The sequence below is a fragment of the Homo sapiens genome, chromosome 3, assembly GCF_000001405.40.
Source record: "Homo sapiens chromosome 3, GRCh38.p14 Primary Assembly".
NCBI classification, from domain to species: Eukaryota; Metazoa; Chordata; class Mammalia; order Primates; family Hominidae; genus Homo; species Homo sapiens.
Genome location: NC_000003.12, coordinates 127619495 through 127637568, shown reverse-complemented (window position 1 = coordinate 127637568; position 18074 = coordinate 127619495). Strand labels below are relative to the sequence as shown.

The window sequence follows — 18074 nt, the reverse complement described above, 5'->3', positions numbered from 1 at the left end:
TCCTCCTCTGTGTAATAAGGACACCAATTCCTACCATGCCTCCAGTGTGAGGGGCACCAAATGAGGTAATTGGTGAGCCATGTGTGAAAGCTGCTCTACAAAGAGCTTTACAAACCAAACTATTCTACAAATATTGTGTTATTATCCTATATAAAAAACAGAGACCTGTGAAGTTCATGGCCCGGGGAAAAAAATATTTAAAAGAGACCATGGTATCTTCAAATACATTAAAACAAAAGGTTGATGTGAATAAGAATATCAGAGTGATTCTACATGGCCTCAAAGCCAACGCCGGGGCTAAGGAGGCATCAGAGCCTTAGCATCTGACCAGGGCTAGTAAACGTCTGTGCCAACCTCTAAGATCCCGTGAAGCTCTGTCTCTCAATAAGATAATTCACAGGCCCAACTCTCAGCTTTAGAAAGTATCATCATAACTAGAGGATGGGGCTGGGTGTGGTGGCTCACACCTGTAAATCCCAGCACTTTGGGAGGCCGAGGCGGGCGGATCACTTGAGGTCAAGAGGTCGAGACAGGCCTGGCCAATGTGGCAAAACTAGTCTCTCCTAAAACACAAAAACTAGCTGGGCATGGTGGCACACGCATGTAGTCTCCAGCTACTTGGTAGGCTAAGGCAGGAGAATTGCTTGAACCCGGGAGGCAGAGATTGCAGTGAACCAAGATGGTGCCATTGCACTCCAGCCTGGGCGACAGAGTGAGACTCTGTCTCAAAAAAATAAAAATAAAAAAATACCTAAAGGGTGGGCAAGCTGTGACCCTGGGCAGGTGGGAGCCAATGGCACTGCTGTGTTGCCAGTGCTCCTGAGGACTGCTCACAGGGGATTGCCTTCTGCCAAGTCCAAACCAGGAAGCTATCACACCCCATCCGGAATGTCTTCTGCTGTCCTAGGCACCATGTCCACGGACAAAGATTCTGCTTCCAGGCAGGGCCTGGCTCCACGAAGCTGAAGTCATGTTCCCAGAGCCTGTGTCTGAATCCCTGACTCAAAGAGAGAAACAGCCATCTCATATTTTGTGGTTTCTTTGAGCCAAAGGTATTTAAAAGGCAGAGAAAGCCAAGACAATCAATTTGGGGTCCACTCCCCTTGAAGTTCCCCTTTGTTCCTGGGAGAGGATGAATTAAGGACTTGTACTCTCTCTAGCTCAAGACTTTCCCATGACCTCTTCCACTCTAATTCCCCTTCACATCACGGGGGGACCCTAAGCTACTCTTGGATTTTTTCCTAGCCCGAATATTATAGAAGAAAGCAGTATCTATCCCCTACTAGGTAGATGGGAAAGAAACAGAGTGCCCTGTCCTACCCCAAAACAGTACCTTCTTAAGGTTCTTCCTGAGAGGGGTTATCCAATGACTCCCAATTAATAACACACATCTTTGCAATGAGACTTTGTAGCTCCTCCCATCAAGAGATGAAATCTAATTCTCCACTCCTTGAATCTGAGCTACCTTTGTGAGTTGCTACACAAGACAATGCAGAAGTGATGATGTGCCATTTCCAAGGCTAGGCATCAAGATACCTTGCACGCTTCCATTCTCTCAGGATTCTGCTCAAGGCTAGCCTGCAGGAAAACAGGAGCCCATGCAGAAGAGAGCCAGATCAGCTCAGTGTCCTAGCTGAAGTCCCAAAGTGAGAGAGCCAGACAAGACCAGCAAAGGTGATAAACAGCTGATGACAAACTTGAAGGAGTTCAGCTGAGACCAGAACCACCCAGCTGACTGCAGCCTAAATTGCCAAACTACAGAATCATGAGCTAAATAAATGGCTACCGTTTTAATCCAGTGCTTTCAAACTTGAACCAGCATGGAATCACCATGAGGGCTTGTTAAAACAGAGACTGTTAAGCCCACCCTAGAGTTCTGAATCCAGCTGGTCTGTGACGGGGCCCAACAATTTGCATTTCTAGCAAGTTCCCAGGTGATGCTTCTGTCCAGGGATCAGATCTTAAGAACTGAGAATCTGAAACCACTAAATTTTGGGGTGATTTATTACACAGAAATAGCCAAATGATACATTAAGACAAATTATAAATCAAGTTCTCCTTTTGGATCAGAGTAGTGTTTGAATGGTTAAATTCCATTCATTCATCCATCCATTCATTCATTCTTCAACCAAAAAGCCTTTATTAAATGCTTATTTGGACTAGGCATGATCCAAGGCTATGTTGGTACAGAAATAAGAAAGATAGGGTCCCTGCCCCAAAAGGGTCAGTTTCTACTACAGAGACCAGCAAGAAAACAAATCATTATGGAATAGTGTAACAGTGACCATATAACTCTGTTTGAGCCACAGGGTTAGTAGGGCAGGGAGAGAGATCTCAAAGGTAGCTACTAACAGAACTGCTCATGGCACTGTACTAACTGTGCTCAGTACACTGTGAAGGAGAAAGGAGGCTGGAGGAAATAACAACACCGGGATCTCAGGAACATGTGTTCAGTTTCCCTTTCTCTAGGGTAGACAACCATGCCACTCAGGGGGGCACATGGCCGAAATGCCCCACACTTCACGATAAAGCAAAACAGCAGAGACGATACAGAAACATAGATGTGTAGACATGAGAGACGCCTCCATTAGAATTACAGTCCTCATAGTGCTTCACCGCTGGAAGAAAAAGAGAGCTCTTTTACGAACCCCTAGCAATTCCCCCTGCACTCATCTGTCCCGAACACTGCCCTCTAATCAGCGCTTCTCAGACTGAAATGTGTGTGAGTCACCCGAGTCTTCTGACACAGTAGGTGTGACTGATGCTGCTGGTCTGTGGACCACACTTTGAGTGACAAAGCTCAGAGAGGTCTTTTTATTTATTTTTTATTTTTATTTATTTTTTCAGACAGTTTCACTCTTGTCGCCCAGGCTGGAGTGCAATGGCGCGTTCTTGGCTCACTGCAACCTCCGCCTCTCAGGTTCAAGCGATTCTCCTGCCTCAGCCTCCCGAGTAGCTGGGATTACAGGCACCTGCCACCACGCCCAGCTAATTTTTTTTTTATTTTTAGTAGAGATAGAGTTTAACCATGTTGGCCAGGCTAGTCTCCAATTCCTGACCTCAGGTGATCTGCCTGCCTCAACCTCCCAAAGTGCCGGGATTACAGGTGTGAGTCACTGTGCCCAGTCAACTTTTTTTTTTTTGAGATGGAGTTTCTCTCTTGTTGCCCAGGCTGGAGTGCAATGGCGTGATCTCAGCTCACTGCAACCTTCGCCTCCCGAGTTCAAGCGATTCTCCTGCCTCAGCCTCCCGAGTAGCAGGGATTACAGGCATGTGCCACCATGACCGGCTAATTTTGTATTTTTAGTAGAGACGGGGTGTCGCCATGTTGGCCAGGCTGGTCTCAAACTCCTGACGTCAGGTGATCTGCCCACCTTGGCCTCCGAGAGTGCTGGGATTACAGGCGTGAGCCACTGCACAGGCCGAGAGGTCTTTTTAAAATGCAAATCTGGTTCTATCATTCTATCATACAGGTCAGATCCTTTGAAAAGGCGAGAAGGCTCTCATAAACTGACCATTACCTCCCCTCCCCTCTCTGCACCCACCTTCCCCAATCATACTCTACGCTTCAGACAAACTGACTACCTGCAATTTCCAGAACACAGCCGCCTCTTTTGCCTTCTGGGTCTTTGCATATGCTCTTCTGCTTGAACATCCGTATCTCCCCATCTCTGTCCTGTCCCACCACCCACCTGCTAATTCTCACTCCTGCCTGCAGTCTCAGCTTCCGAGAAGCTTTCTGTGGCCACTCCAAGTCTGGATGAGACACCACTCCTCTCTATCACAGCCTTCTCAACAAACTACTGTCACGCCACTTTTCTCACCAAATTGTAAGAGACCTTCATACAGCCTCCATTGTAAATGAGGAGTCCCTTGTTTCAATTCCACCCTGTAATTCCAGTGCCTAGCACAACCTTTTACACATGATGGGGACACAATAAAGGTTTGAATAAATAATTAGTAGTCTAATCCAACCCTCTTGTTTTACAAATGAAATAACTGAGGCCTGGTGGGATTAAGGTCAAACAGCTAGTTAATAGAGGAGCTGAAATTAGCTGGTTTCTCCCACACACACACACACACACACACACACACAAAATTTGTAATCCAACCCTCTTGTTTTACAAATGAAATAACTGAGGCCTAGTGGGATTAAGGTCAAACAGCTAGTTAATAGAGGAGCTGAAATTAGCTGGTTTCTCCCCCACAAAAACATCTTGTGGATGCTCCAGGAAGAAGAATGGAAAGCTATTACTTGTGGGGCTGGGTACCTTCCTTCCTCCAAAGGATACGTGAAGGAAGAGAATATGTAAAACAGCTTAAATATTTCATGTGCTTTAAGGGCCAGGGAAAGAAGCCAGAGCTAAAAACTAGAAGATACCCCTTTCCAAACACTCTGCCCAGGGTCCCCACAACCAATCCAATCAATTGAAGGAATCTCTTCTCTTGAAAAAGACCAAATTAGTAAAGTGATTCCCAATGTTTCACAAGCAAGAATCCCTTTATTTACATTTGCATGTGGCCCCTGTGTTTGGAAATGTTTCATCTATAAACTGTACTTATTTAATAGTTATTTTCTAATTTTTGAAAAGTGAATCAGAATCATGTAGTACTGCCAATCAGATGTGATCCAATTATAATTGAACTTTGGTTTCAGGTGGGCTGTGCTCTTATTAGAGGTAAAATTTCTATTAGACTCTCGATTACAAAGAAAAATACAGTCACTCCTGAGCTCCTATTCTGTGCCAAACAGTGTGTTAGGCCCTTCCTGGAGGTGCAACAAGAGACAGATGAACAAGAGACAGGCTTTGCCCTCAGGAAAATTACAAACTCTTGGGAAGTGGAACCCTAAGTTCTTTAGGGGATATGAGCCGATGTAGCAGACTGCTTTGCAAAAGCAGTATCCCCAGGGCTGGCAGGGAGCCAAAATACAAGAAACAAATCTGGAAAAACTCATTCATGCATTCCAGGAAGAAAAAAGTCAACTGATGGAAAATGTTTATAATAATTAAATAATACACATTGTATAGGTTCCCGGGGCACCCGGGCAGCCTGCCTTTGAGAGGGCCATGAACTGGAGATCTGTATCTGCATGCTCCAACCTCCAGCAGGTATGCTGGGAAAGATATTACTTCAGCCTTGTTAGAAAAGTGTAAACTGATTCTCCCTAAGAATTTTGAAATTCACTCTCTACAAAACCACTGAAGGATTAAACACGGGTTGTCTCTCAAACCTTGGCACTCTCTCTCGGAGCTGAACTGTGGCATGGCAGGGAGAGGCTGTGGCATGGCAGGCGGGGAGGCTGCTGCCGTCTACACCCTACTCTGGCTCCTCGGAATGGCTTGGAACTCAAGAAGACTGCTCTGCCCTCTCCAGGTCATTGTGCCCAGAGGAGCCTGTTTCCTTCCCCACTCTGGGGGATAAAACACTTTCTAGTCAGTCCAGCTGTCTGTGCACAGTACTGTGGTCTGGTGTGTTTGCTAGGCCCCTTCCCTGTCATTTCCATGGCTCCAGTGAGCCCCCACCTCTCTGAGCTCTCCCACCTGTCAAGCCAGGAACCCATAACCTTCCTCTAACATCTCTCCCTTTCCTTCTTTGTCTTCCCTTCCCAATGGTCTAATAGGAATTGGCAAAGATTTTGAAAACCCTACTGAAGAAAAAGGAATCTGGTATTTTCCCGGTTTTTCATTCCTTTTCCAGTAAACAGTTTCATTTTCTTAAAGTTATTTTTCCCTCTAATGACTGTTTTGTCTTTACATAGAACTTGATATTTTCAAAGGCCTTGGCAATGGGTATTTATTTAAGTAATTACAAGAGGTTACTTATTTTCAAACTTGCCCACCATAAGATGACACCAAAATAGTAGCTGAGACATAGCCATTCTGTGTATAATTAGTTTTGCACTTAATAATTAATCTGCCTTAATTGAGACCCCACCTGACTTAAAATTTCAGAATTACACTCTGCGTGTGATTGATTTCCTTTTTCCCTCTAGCACCTATAATTTTCTGTTACATCATCACACCCAACAGAGGAGAGAGAAAAAGATGGCACATGAAAAGGATTAGGGGATCAGCCTCAAAGAAATGAAAATCTGACCCAAACAAACACAGAAGGAGGCAAAGGAAGCAGGCTGACATTTGGGGAGGTGAAAAAAACAAGACCCCAGCGATCCTCATGTTTTATCTTACCTTTTCAAATCAGTCCCTGTGATCTGCTCCCGGTGCAAAACTCCTTTCTGATTTCCACCATCAGCTACACCCCACCTCTCCCCTAAGCAGGGTCTTTGAAGTCCAGTCTCCCTAAGCTCTTGGCAGACACCAACATGGGAGGGGCCCTGCAGCATCTGTCACACAGCTCCTCACCCTTAAGTGTCAGCGACAACAGGAACTGCTGAGCACAGTCACGCTACCTCCACTCTGTAAGCACCTGAGAAACAATGCTGACAGGTCCCTGAAGGGCTTCCACACAAAGGTGTGTAAGAAAGAGACACACTGCTAGACACACGCACATGCCCTCCAAGCAGGGGGTAAGAAGTGCGTCATGAAGAGCATGCACGGGAGAGAGGAGCCGGGAGGCAGGCTGCCTGCAGTCCTCACAGCTGGTCACATAAGCACATGGGCAGTTACAGCTGGGCCTGGGTCCATGAGGACGTTGCTGGCCAGTTCTGGTTTATGACTGTCACACAAAGAAATAGCAGACCAATCAATTGATGTTTATTTATTGAATGTCGCCTTTTTCCAAAGAGGATTTACGGCGTGAAAGAATACAGGTGGGTTTGTGTGAGTGTCTGAGCCAACACTGATGGACATGTTTTTCTGTGCACACCACCTAGGGCCTTTCTTCATCCCTAGACTGACTGTGGAGAAAATGTACCCTCCCTGAACTGAGCCTTCCCATGACATGCACAGGAATGTGCGAGGGACCACTTTCCCCTCCCAGCCATTTACCCTGGGATTCTGCCACTCTGAGTCCCAGGTTCATGGCCCACCTCAGGCAAAGACTGTTCCTCCCTTCCCATAGAGACCCTTCACTAGTTTCTCTTTCACTCACACACATCTGGACACAAAGTGCCTGTGTCTTCATGGGCCAGCTGCGTGGGAAATGTCCTGTGCACACTCCTACATGCACATACACACTCCTACATGCACATACACACATCATACTAGGACGCTATTTTGACGTGTGCATCAGAAGTGAAGTTACAGCTGGCTGATGAGTGTGCACAGGCACACATGCACACTTCCTCATCCGGGTATTCCTCCAGCAGCACCAGTCACACCTTAACATACACCGTAACACACTCCCTCTGCTCTGCCAGTGTGTGCAGGAGCTGCTCAGCTATGACCTTATTTGACCCACCTTTGCAGACAGCCCTTCTCCCCGCCATTTCCATAGTGGCCGCCTGCCTCATGGGCTGTCACACCCCATGCCCACCTCCCTACACACCCCCTCCACTAAATCCCCGTCTGCGCTGGAAGCCATCAGGAGGCCCGTCTCTTTCTCTCTCAGGCAGACACATCCCTTTCACACCTGTGCCACACCCCCAGCCCGCCACGCACCCACACAGCCCGCCGCCCGGCGTGGCTGCTGAATGGAAACCACACATCTGAGTCTCACACCTCCCTCGTGTGTGAGCTGCGTGGGAGCCTCCCGCCGTGTGCTGTCACGGGCCTTCCGTGGCTGTACGCCCGTTTTTGTCAGCTCCTAATAGAGTCGCCCAGAACAGGAGAGAATACCCATTCACCGTGACACACTCACACTCCCTCCCGGCAACGCCACGCGTAAACAGCCACCCGCGCCTCAGCGTACCCGCCCCACACTCCGCAGGCGGCCCCTGGGACCTTCACAATGCGGCCTCCTCCCCGCGTGGCTGTCACACACGCCTCTTCCCCCGAGTGCGCAGGCACACAATGCACTCGCACACACACAAGCACACGCACACACATGCACACCCACACGTGCGCGCCCCCCCGGCCCGCGAGGCAGCAGCCTGCGCACCTGCCCCTGAGAGCCGCGGCGTGGGGGCCACGGTGCTGTGTCCCAGCTTCACCGCCGCGCCTTTGTCGGGGGTCGCCCGGCACGCCAGGCGCCCGCCGCGGCCCCCACGCACCCACTCCTCGTGCGCGTGTGTCGGGGCGGCGCCGCGGCCCGGCCGGGACACGCGCGCTCCCGGCGGCGCCGCACTCTGGCCCCTTTGTTGGCGGCCCGGGGAGCTGTCCAGCACCGCGCCCACGCCGCCGCCCGCCCTCCCGCGCTCGGGCCCGGAGCGCACTCACCCCCAACCAGCAGAAGCAGCAGCGGCGAAAGCAGCGGCGGCAGCCGGGCGGCCCGCAGCAGCCGGCCCATGGTGTAGCCGTCGCCGCCTGCAGCCGCAGCGGCGCGGCGCCCGGGCCCGCGTCAGGGGCCGCGCGGGCGGCGGCGGCGGCGCGCGCCCGCCCCATTGGTCCGCATGGCCGTCACTCACGCCCGGCCCCGCCCGGCCGCGTGCCGCGGGCGCGCCCCCGCGGAGACGAAGCGGACGCGCGGGCGGCCGTCCCTCCGCCCGTCCCCCCCGCCAGGCCGGCCAATCAGCACCGCCGAGGCTCGGGGGCTTGGCCCGGCCGCCCGCAGACCTGGGCCTCGCACCTCGCGCCCGGATGCCGCTCTCTCCCCGCGCGGTCACCCGTTCCCTGGGAAGCAGAGTGGGCAGCTGTGGCAGATGGGACTGATGGGACGAGGACGACGCGTGGAAATGACTGTGAGGGTGGACAGAGGCCTGGGGTAAGGAAAGACTTCTCAGGGTACTTAGATTGGGTGAGCCCTGAAGGAGAACCTGAGAGCAAAGAACTGGACTTTAGAGCTAGGCAGTCTGGCTCAGGATCAGATTGGTTCCGAGACCTTGAGTAAATCTCTTCTCACCTCTGGGCCCCACTTGCCCCATTTGCTAACTGGGGGGTTTTAGATTATGAGAGAGGTGCTGACTTCTCTAACATGTGCTCCCTTTTGGCAACTGAAGATCCTTAATATGCCAAGCACTGTAGTGGTAAATAAAACAGGCACATCCCTCGTCCTCATAGTTTAGGCTCGTAGAGAAAACAGACTGAAAAACAAAATGGACACACATATGGTCCTATGATTGCAATTGGTAGTCGGTCTGTTAAGGAGTATAAGGGGCTAGGAGACAGCACAGAGGGGAACCTTATGCTTGCCTTCCTGAAGAAACAGCATTTAAGGTAAGCTGGCTGGCATCTGGAAGGATGAGTGGGTATTAGGTAGGAGATTGGGTTTGGGAGAGAACTTACAAGGCAGAGGGAAAAGCTCACTGATAGAGTTCCTGAGTTAGAAAGAAGCTCAGCCTCTTTTAGGGAGAGAAAAACCCCGACTACCCTTTTAGAAGTACTGCAGCTTAAATATACAGCAACCACAATTTTGTGGAATGTTACTTTATATATACCATATTAGGAAAACACTTCTTTAAAATAACAAATCGTTATTTGAATATGCTTTTTCAAAGTATATCCCCACCCCCCTATGCAGGGGTATAGCATCAGACATTGGAGATAATCTCACGGGACTCTTCCAGACTAAATATTAATACTTAGGAGAAATAGGAGTTGGGGTGGAGGAGCATAGGGAAGAAATGGGTTCCAGACAAAAGAAAGAACATGAGCAAAATGTAGCACCTTTTATTTGGTGGGTGTTAGGGGTACTAGAAAAGTGGCTGTCAGCTGGGCTTGGAAAAGAGAAATCCAGGGTGTGTCTAGACCCAGCTTCCCTCTTCTTTCCTCCTCTGAGGATGAAAGGAGCATCCCTTTGGTTTTTTGTTGTGTTTTGTTTTGTTTTTCTGTTACAAGAAACAAAGATCTTAGAAGCAAACAAGAAATGGAAGGAAACGTCCTCAATTCCATTAAGGGTATCTCCCAGAAACCTTTATTATCATACTTAATGGTGAAACCATACTTAATGATGAAACATTAGAAACATTCTCTTTTAAGTGAATGGAACAAAATAATCCTCACTACCACCACAATGATTGAATATTCTATAAGAGACACTGCAACAAGGCCTGATAGAAGAAATGGGATGAAAGTATTGGGGGAAAACTCATTATTTGCAGGTTTATCTAGAAAATGCAAGATCATCAGTTGGCAAAATAATTGAAAACCAATGAGTTCAGCAAGATTGCTGAATAAAAGATAACGTACAGAAATCAATAGCTTTTCTGTGTATCCTCAATAACCACTTAGAAAATGTAGTAGGAGAAAAGATCGCAATCACAGCAACAATTATTAAAAACTGGAATAAACCAAACCAGATATGTAAGCTCCAAATGAAGAAAACTCTAAAGCTGCCAGGGGTGGTGGCATGTGCCTGGAATCCCAGCTACTTGGGGGAGACTGAGGTAGGAGGATGGATCACTTGAGGCTAGGGGTTTGAGACCAGCTTTGGCAATATGGTGAGACCCCCATCTCTAAGTAAATCAATTAGCCAGGTGTAGTGGTGCATGTCTGTAGTCCTACCTACTTGGGAGGCTGAGGTGGGAGGATCACTTGAGCCCAAGAGTTCAAGATCAACCTGGGCAACAAAGCAAGATGCCATCTCTATGAAAAATTTTAAAATTAGCCAGGCATGGTGGCACACACCTGTAATCCTAGCTACATAGGAAGCTGAGGTGGGAGGATTGCTTGAGCACAGGAGTTCAAGGCTGCAGTGAGCTATGATTGTGCCACTGCACTTCAGCCTGGGTGACAGAGTGAGACTCTGTCTCAAAAAAAGAAACAAAAATTTAAGTGAAGGCAATCCTCAGAATGGGAAGAAACATTTGGAAATCATGTATCTAGAATATACAAAGAATTTTTACAAGTCAGTAATAAAGACAACTCAATGTTTTAAAATGGACAAAGATCTGAATATACATTCCTCCAAATGTCAATAAGCACATGAAAACATGCTCAGCCTCATTAACCATCAGATAAATGCAAATCAAAACCACAATAAGAAACCACTTCTCAGGCTGGGTACGGTGGTTCACGCCTGTAATCCCAGCACTTTAGGAGGCCGGGCTGGGTGGATAGCTTGAGGTCAGGAGTTGGATACCAGCCTTGCTAACATGGCAAAACCCTGTCTCTACTAAAAATACAAAAATTACTCTGGCATGGTGGTGCATGACTGTAATCCCAGCTACACAGGAGGCTGAGGCATGAGAATTGCTTGAACCCAGGGGGTGGAGGTTGCAGTGAGCTGAGATCACACCACTGCACTCCAGCCTGGGTGACAAAGCGAGACTCTGTCTCAAAAAAAAGGAAACCACTTTGCGTCTCACTAAGGTGGGTGGCTAGAATTAAAAAGAGAGACCACGTGTTATATAGGATATGGAGAAAGAACCCTCCTCGTACACTGCTGATGGGAATGTAAAATGGTGCAGCTGCTTTGGACATAGGCAGTTTCTCAAAAGATTAAGCATAGAGTTACCATATGACTTCATAATTCCACTCCTAATACATACCTAAGAGCATAGAAAACATATGTCTAGTCAAATACATTACAGGAATGTTCATAGCAGCATTAGTCATAATAATCAAAAGGTGGAAACAACCCAAATTCTCATCAACTGATGAATGCATAAATAAAATGTAGCATACCCATACAATGGCATGTTGGTCAGCAATACAAAGAAAGTACTGACACATGCTACAACGTGGATGAACCTTGAAAACATTATTCTAAGTGAAAGAAGCCCATCACAAAAGACTACATATTATATGATTCAATTTTTATGAAATGTCCAGAATAGGTAAATCTTTAGCAATAGAAAGCAGATTAGTGGTTGCCTAGGGCTGGTGGGGAAGGAAGAGGAGTAACTGCTAATGGGTATGTTTTTTGGGGGAAGGGAGTGATGAAAATGTTTTAAAAGTGTGATAATTTGCACAACTGCAAATATGCTAAAACGATTGAATTGTACATTTTTTAATTAATTAATTAGTTTATTTTTGAGACAGAGTCTCGCTCTGTTGCCCAGGCTGGAGTGCAGTGGTGTGATCTTGGCCCACTACAACCTCCGCCTCCCAGGTTCAAGCGATTCTCCTGCCTCAGACTCCTGAGTAGCTGGGATTACAGGTGTGTGCTGCCACACCCGGCCAAGTTGTACATTTTAAATTATGTGGTATGTAAACTATATCTCAATAAACCTGTAAAAAACACAAGAATACCCAAGCTCACATTTTATCTTGTTTTTTTTTTCTTTGAGACAGGGTCTGGATCTGTCACCAAGGCTGGAGTGCCAGGGCACCACCATAGCTCACTGCAGCCTCGCTCTCCCAGGCTTAAGTGATCCTCCTGCTTCAGCTCCTGGAGTAGCTGGGATTACAGGTTTGTGCCACCATGCCCAGCTAACTGTTGTTATTTTTTTGTAGAGATGGGGTCTCACTATGTTTCCCAGGCTAGGCTCCAGTGATCCGCCCTCATTGGCCCCCCAAAGTGCTAGGATTATAGGCATGAGCCACCTTGCTGGCGTAAATTATCCTTAATATACAAACACACACACACACACGTATGTACACACACATTATGTAATATCGGTATGTTTTAAATGTTTACATATATGTATCACATCTTGTTTTTTCACTCATAATTATCTTTCAAATTAATCCATTAATAAATTCTATCGCATGAATAAAAAAAATCTAATTTTCCAGTCTTAGAGTAAACATCAACGGAAAAGCCTCACTGTGGTCCTGTATACCTTGTTGGCTGTCCCATTTCACACGCCCCTTGGAGCCAAACTTCTCACGCGTTTTCTCCATGAGCAGTTTCTACCTCCTCACCTCCTGTTTATTCTATCCGCACTCCAACCTGGCTTCCACTGTCACCAAGGGATTGAAACTGCTGGACGAGGCTACAGCAACTCCCACATTACCACAAAGCTTGTATTTCAAAGGTGCACATCTAAACTGGGATGTCTGGCCGGGCATGGTGGCTCACACCTCTAATCCCAGCACTCTGGGAGGCAGAGGTGGGTGGATCACCTGAGGTCAGGAGTTTGAGACCAGCCTGGCCAACATGGTGAAACCCTATCTCTACTAAAAATACAAAAAAAAGAAAAAATTAGCTGGGCATGGTGGCACAGGCCTATAATCCAAGCTACTCAGGAGGCTGAGGCAGGAGAATTGCTTGAACCCTGGAGGCGGAGGTTGCTGTGAGCTGAGATCGTGCCACTGCACTCCTGGGTGACAGAGCAAGCCTGGGCGACAGAGCAAGACTCCGTCTCTAAATAAATAAATAAATAAAAAAAGGACATCTGAAGGTTGATGACATCATTATAAATGTTTACATTTTTTCCTCAGAAGCACATAAAATGGTGATTCTTATCTTCAATGGCATCTTATATTCAATGAAACATGGTAGTGGGCAGGTTTGTCATTTCACCTGATCTTTCAGCTACGTTGGCCAACTGACCTCAATCTTCTGGAAATTTCTTCTTCTCCTGGCTTCCACAGACACCCTTCTCCCCTGGTTTTTCTGCCACATTTTCCTCCTGTCTCCTTTGCTGTTTCAAATGATGGGTGTCACGTAGCCTTCCAGATCATTTTTTTTTTTTTTTTGAGATGGAGTCTTGCTCCGTCGCCCAGGCTGGAATGCAGTGGCACGATCTCGGCTCACTGCACCCTCTGCCTCCCAGGTTCAAGCAATTCTCCTGCCTCAGCCTCCCAAGTAGGTGGGATTACAGGCGCACACCACCATGCCCAGCTAATTTTTGTATTTTTTTAGTAGAGACTGGGTTTCACCATGTTGACCAGACTGGTCTTGAACTCCTGACTATGTGATCCGCCCACCTCAGCCTCCCAAAGTGCTGGAATTACAGACGTGAGCCACCGCACCCAGCCTGGATCATTTCTCTGTGCACTCTGGGGGTGATGGCACTTAGCCCCACAGTGGCAGCTATGATGACCGCTCCTCATGCCCACACCTCTGCTCAGTGGTCGACTCAACCTGCCTGCAGACTTCACATTTCTACTTGGATGTCTAAAAGGCCTGTCTAGCCAACATGTCTGAAATGAAACTCCTGGCTTTCCCTACTAAACTTCAACCTATTTCCCCAGCCACAGACCTGGTCATCCAGGGTTTTTCCTTTTTGCCCTACCCCTACATCTTACTCATCACTACATCTTGTCTAATCTACCTGCAAAATACACCTATGTCCACTTTCCCCCATCTCCATCACCCAAGTCTCCACTCTTCCGTCCTTTCTCCTCTCAGTATGATTTGGTGGCCAGCCAGCTCTCCAAGACCACTGGACCACTGCTGTCCTGAACACCCTCTTGCTGGCTGCCTGCTGTGGCAGACTAGAGCCTCCTTAGAGCACAAGTCCTGTGTGACCTGCCTGACTCTGGCCTCAATCCTTGCCCTGCCCTATGCTTCAGCCCATTTTCCTGTGGCTGGCACCTTTTCCTTTAAAAAGTAACTCCAGGCTGAGCATGGTGGCACAGGCTTGTAATCCCAGCACTTTGGGAGACCAAGATGGGAGGATCGCTTGAGCCCAGTTCAAGACCAGCCTGGGCAACATAGTGAGTGAGACCTCATCTCTACCAAAAACTTAAATTAGCCAGGCGTAGTGGTGTGTGCCTGTAGTCCAGGCTACTCAGGACGATTGCTTGAGCCCGGGAGGTCGATGCTGCAGTGAGCTGATTGCACCACTGCACTCTAGCCTGGGCGACTGAAAACTTACTTCAAAAAAAAAAAAGTTCAAGAAGGGAAAACTTGGACAAGACAGATGTCAGAACCCCATCTGGGAACTGCAATCCCTCCGGCAGCCCATCAGCTGAGGCTGATGAGGTCCCTCCGGCACCTCATCTCTGGGTGAGGTGGTGGATGGTACTGCCCCACTGTGGGGTAGGCTACACCACCTCTAGTCCTATACACGTCTAACTAGGATTTCCATGGATTCCACTTAGATATCACAGAGGCAGTGACTGCAAACCAAGTTCAATGGGGATATCTATATCATTTTTGCTTTCTCTACATCCACAAACAAAACAGCTTTTTTAACCCGACCTACCTCCTACAGAACTCTGAACGGAGAAGGTGGAAAGGGCCTTCAGCGGAAGTCCAGGTTACTTACTAAAGCGGAATGGAAGCCAACAGATACCAGCGTTTATATTTTATTCAACTTTATTAAAAATTAAAACTACAGAAACCAAACCGAATGCACAAATAAGAGAGTGGGGAAACAGACAGGGAGCAATGGCAGCTGATAACTGTGGCGAGTGGATAATCCGCATGACTCACATCCCACCCCTGCGACTGAGGAGCCCAGAACGCTGCGCTGGCACTGTCGTGCCCTCTTCCACCACAGGGGCACAGAAACCTGCAGGAGACTGAAAACGATTACAAACATCTTCAACCAGCTCTCTGGCCAAAGGCAGCAAAAGCAGCCTGAATACGCAACTCACGCCAAGAGGGCAGCAGCTCTCCTGACATCCATGTAAGAAGGCTAACACCTAAACCACACGCAGGCATCCTGAACTCAGCAGCTCTGATCCAAGGTACTGAGTGGAGACAAAGCACTCGGAGGTGGCAAGATGTTCAGCAACCAAGTAAGACACACTGGCAAGGCATCCCACCCAAAGGTGAGAAGCACAAAGCAGGCTTGGAGAAACAAACAGTCATGCCAGGTGCAGCCAGACATCCTGCTATAAGCCCTGACCCTAGTACCCCGAGTTCATCAAGTGCTCTGGTTTTGTGTCCATAAAGCACAGAGGGCACTGACCACCCCAAACCAGAATCCCAAGGAATCCTTATGGATGGCATAGGGCCTCAGAACTGCTGCAGGATCATTTTCCTTTTCAGGTCGTGGCTGAACTTGTTCATCCTGAAGAGCTCACTGTCATAAAATGCAGAGAGGTTGTGGATGTTGATCTGACGAGCCTGCAAGGAGGAAGTGTCCAGTGAGCCATCAGTGGTGTGAGAACAGGCTGTTTCCAGAGCGCCCCAGTTACAGTGCACTTTCAGACACCATCACCTCCATTTATGGGAGGAAAATATCCAGGGGTGGAGAGGCCGATTAAGGGGCTTCAAATCTCTGCTGTACAAGCTGTGCGTGTAAACTGAGACAAGTTACTTGGCTGCCCTGTATCTGTCTCCACCTCTGCACAACAGGAAGGCAGTAACAGGACTCACCTCACTCCCCTGCTGTCAGACTACAGGCACAGAACTGGACTCAACAGACTGTAAGCATTCAATAAATGGCTGTCAACCAAGGCCCACCCACTTCATGACCCATTATGATGGAGCCCCCATCAGGAGACTGGCAGCTCCCAAGTCAGCATACCCCAACCCTCACCTCCCTTCCGGGCCCATACCTTATCCACCAAGTCCTTCTCAGGGACCTCAATAGTGTCCTGCTGGGCCCCAAAGCGGTTGCGCTGATATGTCACCTGCTCTGCCACTAACTGCTTCAGTATGAAGAGCAACAGCTCATTGTTGTCACGCCGGAATGAAAGGTAGCGGGCAAAAGTCTGCAGGAAAAAAGCCTCAGTCAAACACCCGCTCCCACTACGCCTGCCACACTCCCTTTACCCTACGTGCCAGCACCCAGGTCAGACAGGCTGCCGCTCCTGGGTGCACGTCCAGGCCAGAGCCCTGGATACCCACGTGTGGCCTCCTTCACTGAGCTTGCCCATCAGGCCCCTACCTCGGAGCACACCCACCTTGCGCATGCTGCGCATGACGCTGAACTTCTGTGTGTCTATGAAGCTCTCCAGCATCACGCGGATGGCCATGTTGACGTCGTCTTCGATCACATAGTCCCGCAGATGGATGCGCGCGTGGGCCTCCGCCATGCGGATCATGGACTCGATGTGCCGCACCGTAATGGGGATGCTGCCTGTCGCCTGGAGAGAAGCACAGTGTCAGGTCTTTCACGGGCAGGAAAGAGAAGCAAGGAAAATAAAGCAGCGGCACTCTTAGCACCCAGAGCCAAGAAGACCCATCTGACAGTGCCCCAGCAGAAATGCAGAATGCTTGACTGCGCTGCCCAGTGAATGCACACTTCCTATCCCTCCTGGAAATCAGAGGATGCCAGTGGATGCTGCATGCTTACGGCCTGTCACCATCACACCTGCACAGTTCTGCTCCCACCAGCTGACTTCTGTGCATCTCAGAGGCTGTTGTATTTGTGGCCAGCTGTATTGGTTATTGTCACACACTAAATATTGAATAATCCTGTACAATGTAAGTGCAAAAAAAGGTCGTTGTTTGTAGGAAAACTAAATTGAATGATCTGAAAAAACTTGGTAAAGTTAAAAGGCAGAAATTTGAAAAGCTGCTGTGTTGACTGGGTGTGGCTGAGGCAGCAATCTACAAGGACTCGGCATTCCCATGGCTTGCAAGCTGCTTTAAGTTTCCATTCCACTATGAATGAGCCAAAGACCTTGTGTTCATTAGAGTGAAATTTACACAAAGTCAATATGGAACTTAATAAGCACATCAACAATTAAGGCCTTGGCCCTACACTGAGACAAATGAATGCACATTTAAATTTCATCTAAAACAAAATGGTTAAGGTATATATTAATACCTATCATTTAAAAAAATATTTTTTTTTTGAAACAGGGTTTCACTGTGTCACCAAGGCTAGAGTGCAGTGGTGCCATCATAGCTCACTGTAGCCTCGAACTCCTGGGCTCAAGTAGATCTTCCTTCCTTAGCTTCCTGAGTAGCTGGGACTACAGGCACAAACCACCAGGCCCAGCTAAGTTTCAAAACATTTTTTGTAGAGAAAGGGCCTCACTATGTTGCCCAGCCTGGTCTTGAACTCACCTCAAGCAATCTTCCTGCCTTGGCCTCCCAAAGTGCTGGGATTACAGGCATGAATCACTGTACCCAACTTTCATTTTTTGTTTTTGTTTTTGAGATGGAGTCTCACTCTGTCACCCAGGCTGGAGTGCAGTGGTGCGATCTCAGCTCACTGCACCCTCCGCCTCCCGGGTTCAAGCGATTCTCCTGCCTCAGCCTCCTGAGAAGCTGGGATTACAGGCATGTGCCACCACACCCGGCTAATTTTTGGGTTTCACCATGTTGGTCAGGCTGGTCTC

At 48.3% G+C, this 18074-nt stretch overlaps 2 protein-coding genes and 1 long non-coding RNA gene across 5 annotated transcripts in view, besides 3 other annotated features; 1 reads left to right on the top strand and 2 right to left on the bottom strand.

Annotated features, from left to right (window-relative positions):
• The window catches only part of PODXL2 (podocalyxin like 2), a 43618-nt gene extending 35234 nt beyond the window's left edge, over nt 1–8384 (bottom strand). The window contains exon 1 of the mRNA NM_015720.4: nt 8280–8384. Coding sequence (NP_056535.1) covers nt 8280–8349 — 70 coding nt within the window. The 5' untranslated portion in view covers nt 8350–8384. The remainder of the gene's footprint in view (nt 1–8279) is intronic.
• Nucleotides 7682–7741: an enhancer, noted in NCBI's record as "active region_20458". NCBI's record gives its function as "activates an Ori minimal core promoter by ATAC-STARR-seq in GM12878 lymphoblastoid cells {active_cell/tissue: GM12878}" and the evidence as "EXISTENCE:reporter gene assay evidence [ECO:0000049][PMID:35858748]".
• Nucleotides 8142–8271: a silencer, noted in NCBI's record as "silent region_14693". NCBI's record gives its function as "represses an Ori minimal core promoter by ATAC-STARR-seq in GM12878 lymphoblastoid cells {active_cell/tissue: GM12878}" and the evidence as "EXISTENCE:reporter gene assay evidence [ECO:0000049][PMID:35858748]".
• Nucleotides 8382–8451: a silencer, noted in NCBI's record as "silent region_14692". NCBI's record gives its function as "represses an Ori minimal core promoter by ATAC-STARR-seq in GM12878 lymphoblastoid cells {active_cell/tissue: GM12878}" and the evidence as "EXISTENCE:reporter gene assay evidence [ECO:0000049][PMID:35858748]".
• LOC107986126 (uncharacterized) lies at nt 8606–15166 on the top strand. The gene is made up of 2 exons (XR_001740892.2): nt 8606–8763; nt 15047–15166. It is a non-coding gene; the product is annotated as an uncharacterized LOC107986126 (long non-coding RNA).
• The window catches only part of MCM2 (minichromosome maintenance complex component 2), a 24026-nt gene continuing 21084 nt past the window's right edge, over nt 15133–18074 (bottom strand). For all 3 annotated transcript variants that reach the window (NR_073375.2, NM_004526.4, XM_024453531.2), the window contains exons 14-16: nt 16689–16871; nt 16341–16496; nt 15133–15906 (exon numbers count right to left, since the gene is read on the bottom strand). Coding sequence is in view for 2 of the 3 variants with exons in the window: in NM_004526.4 (NP_004517.2) it covers nt 15796–15906; nt 16341–16496; nt 16689–16871 (450 nt within the window). In the remaining variant the exon portion in view is untranslated. The remainder of the gene's footprint in view (nt 15907–16340; nt 16497–16688; nt 16872–18074) is intronic.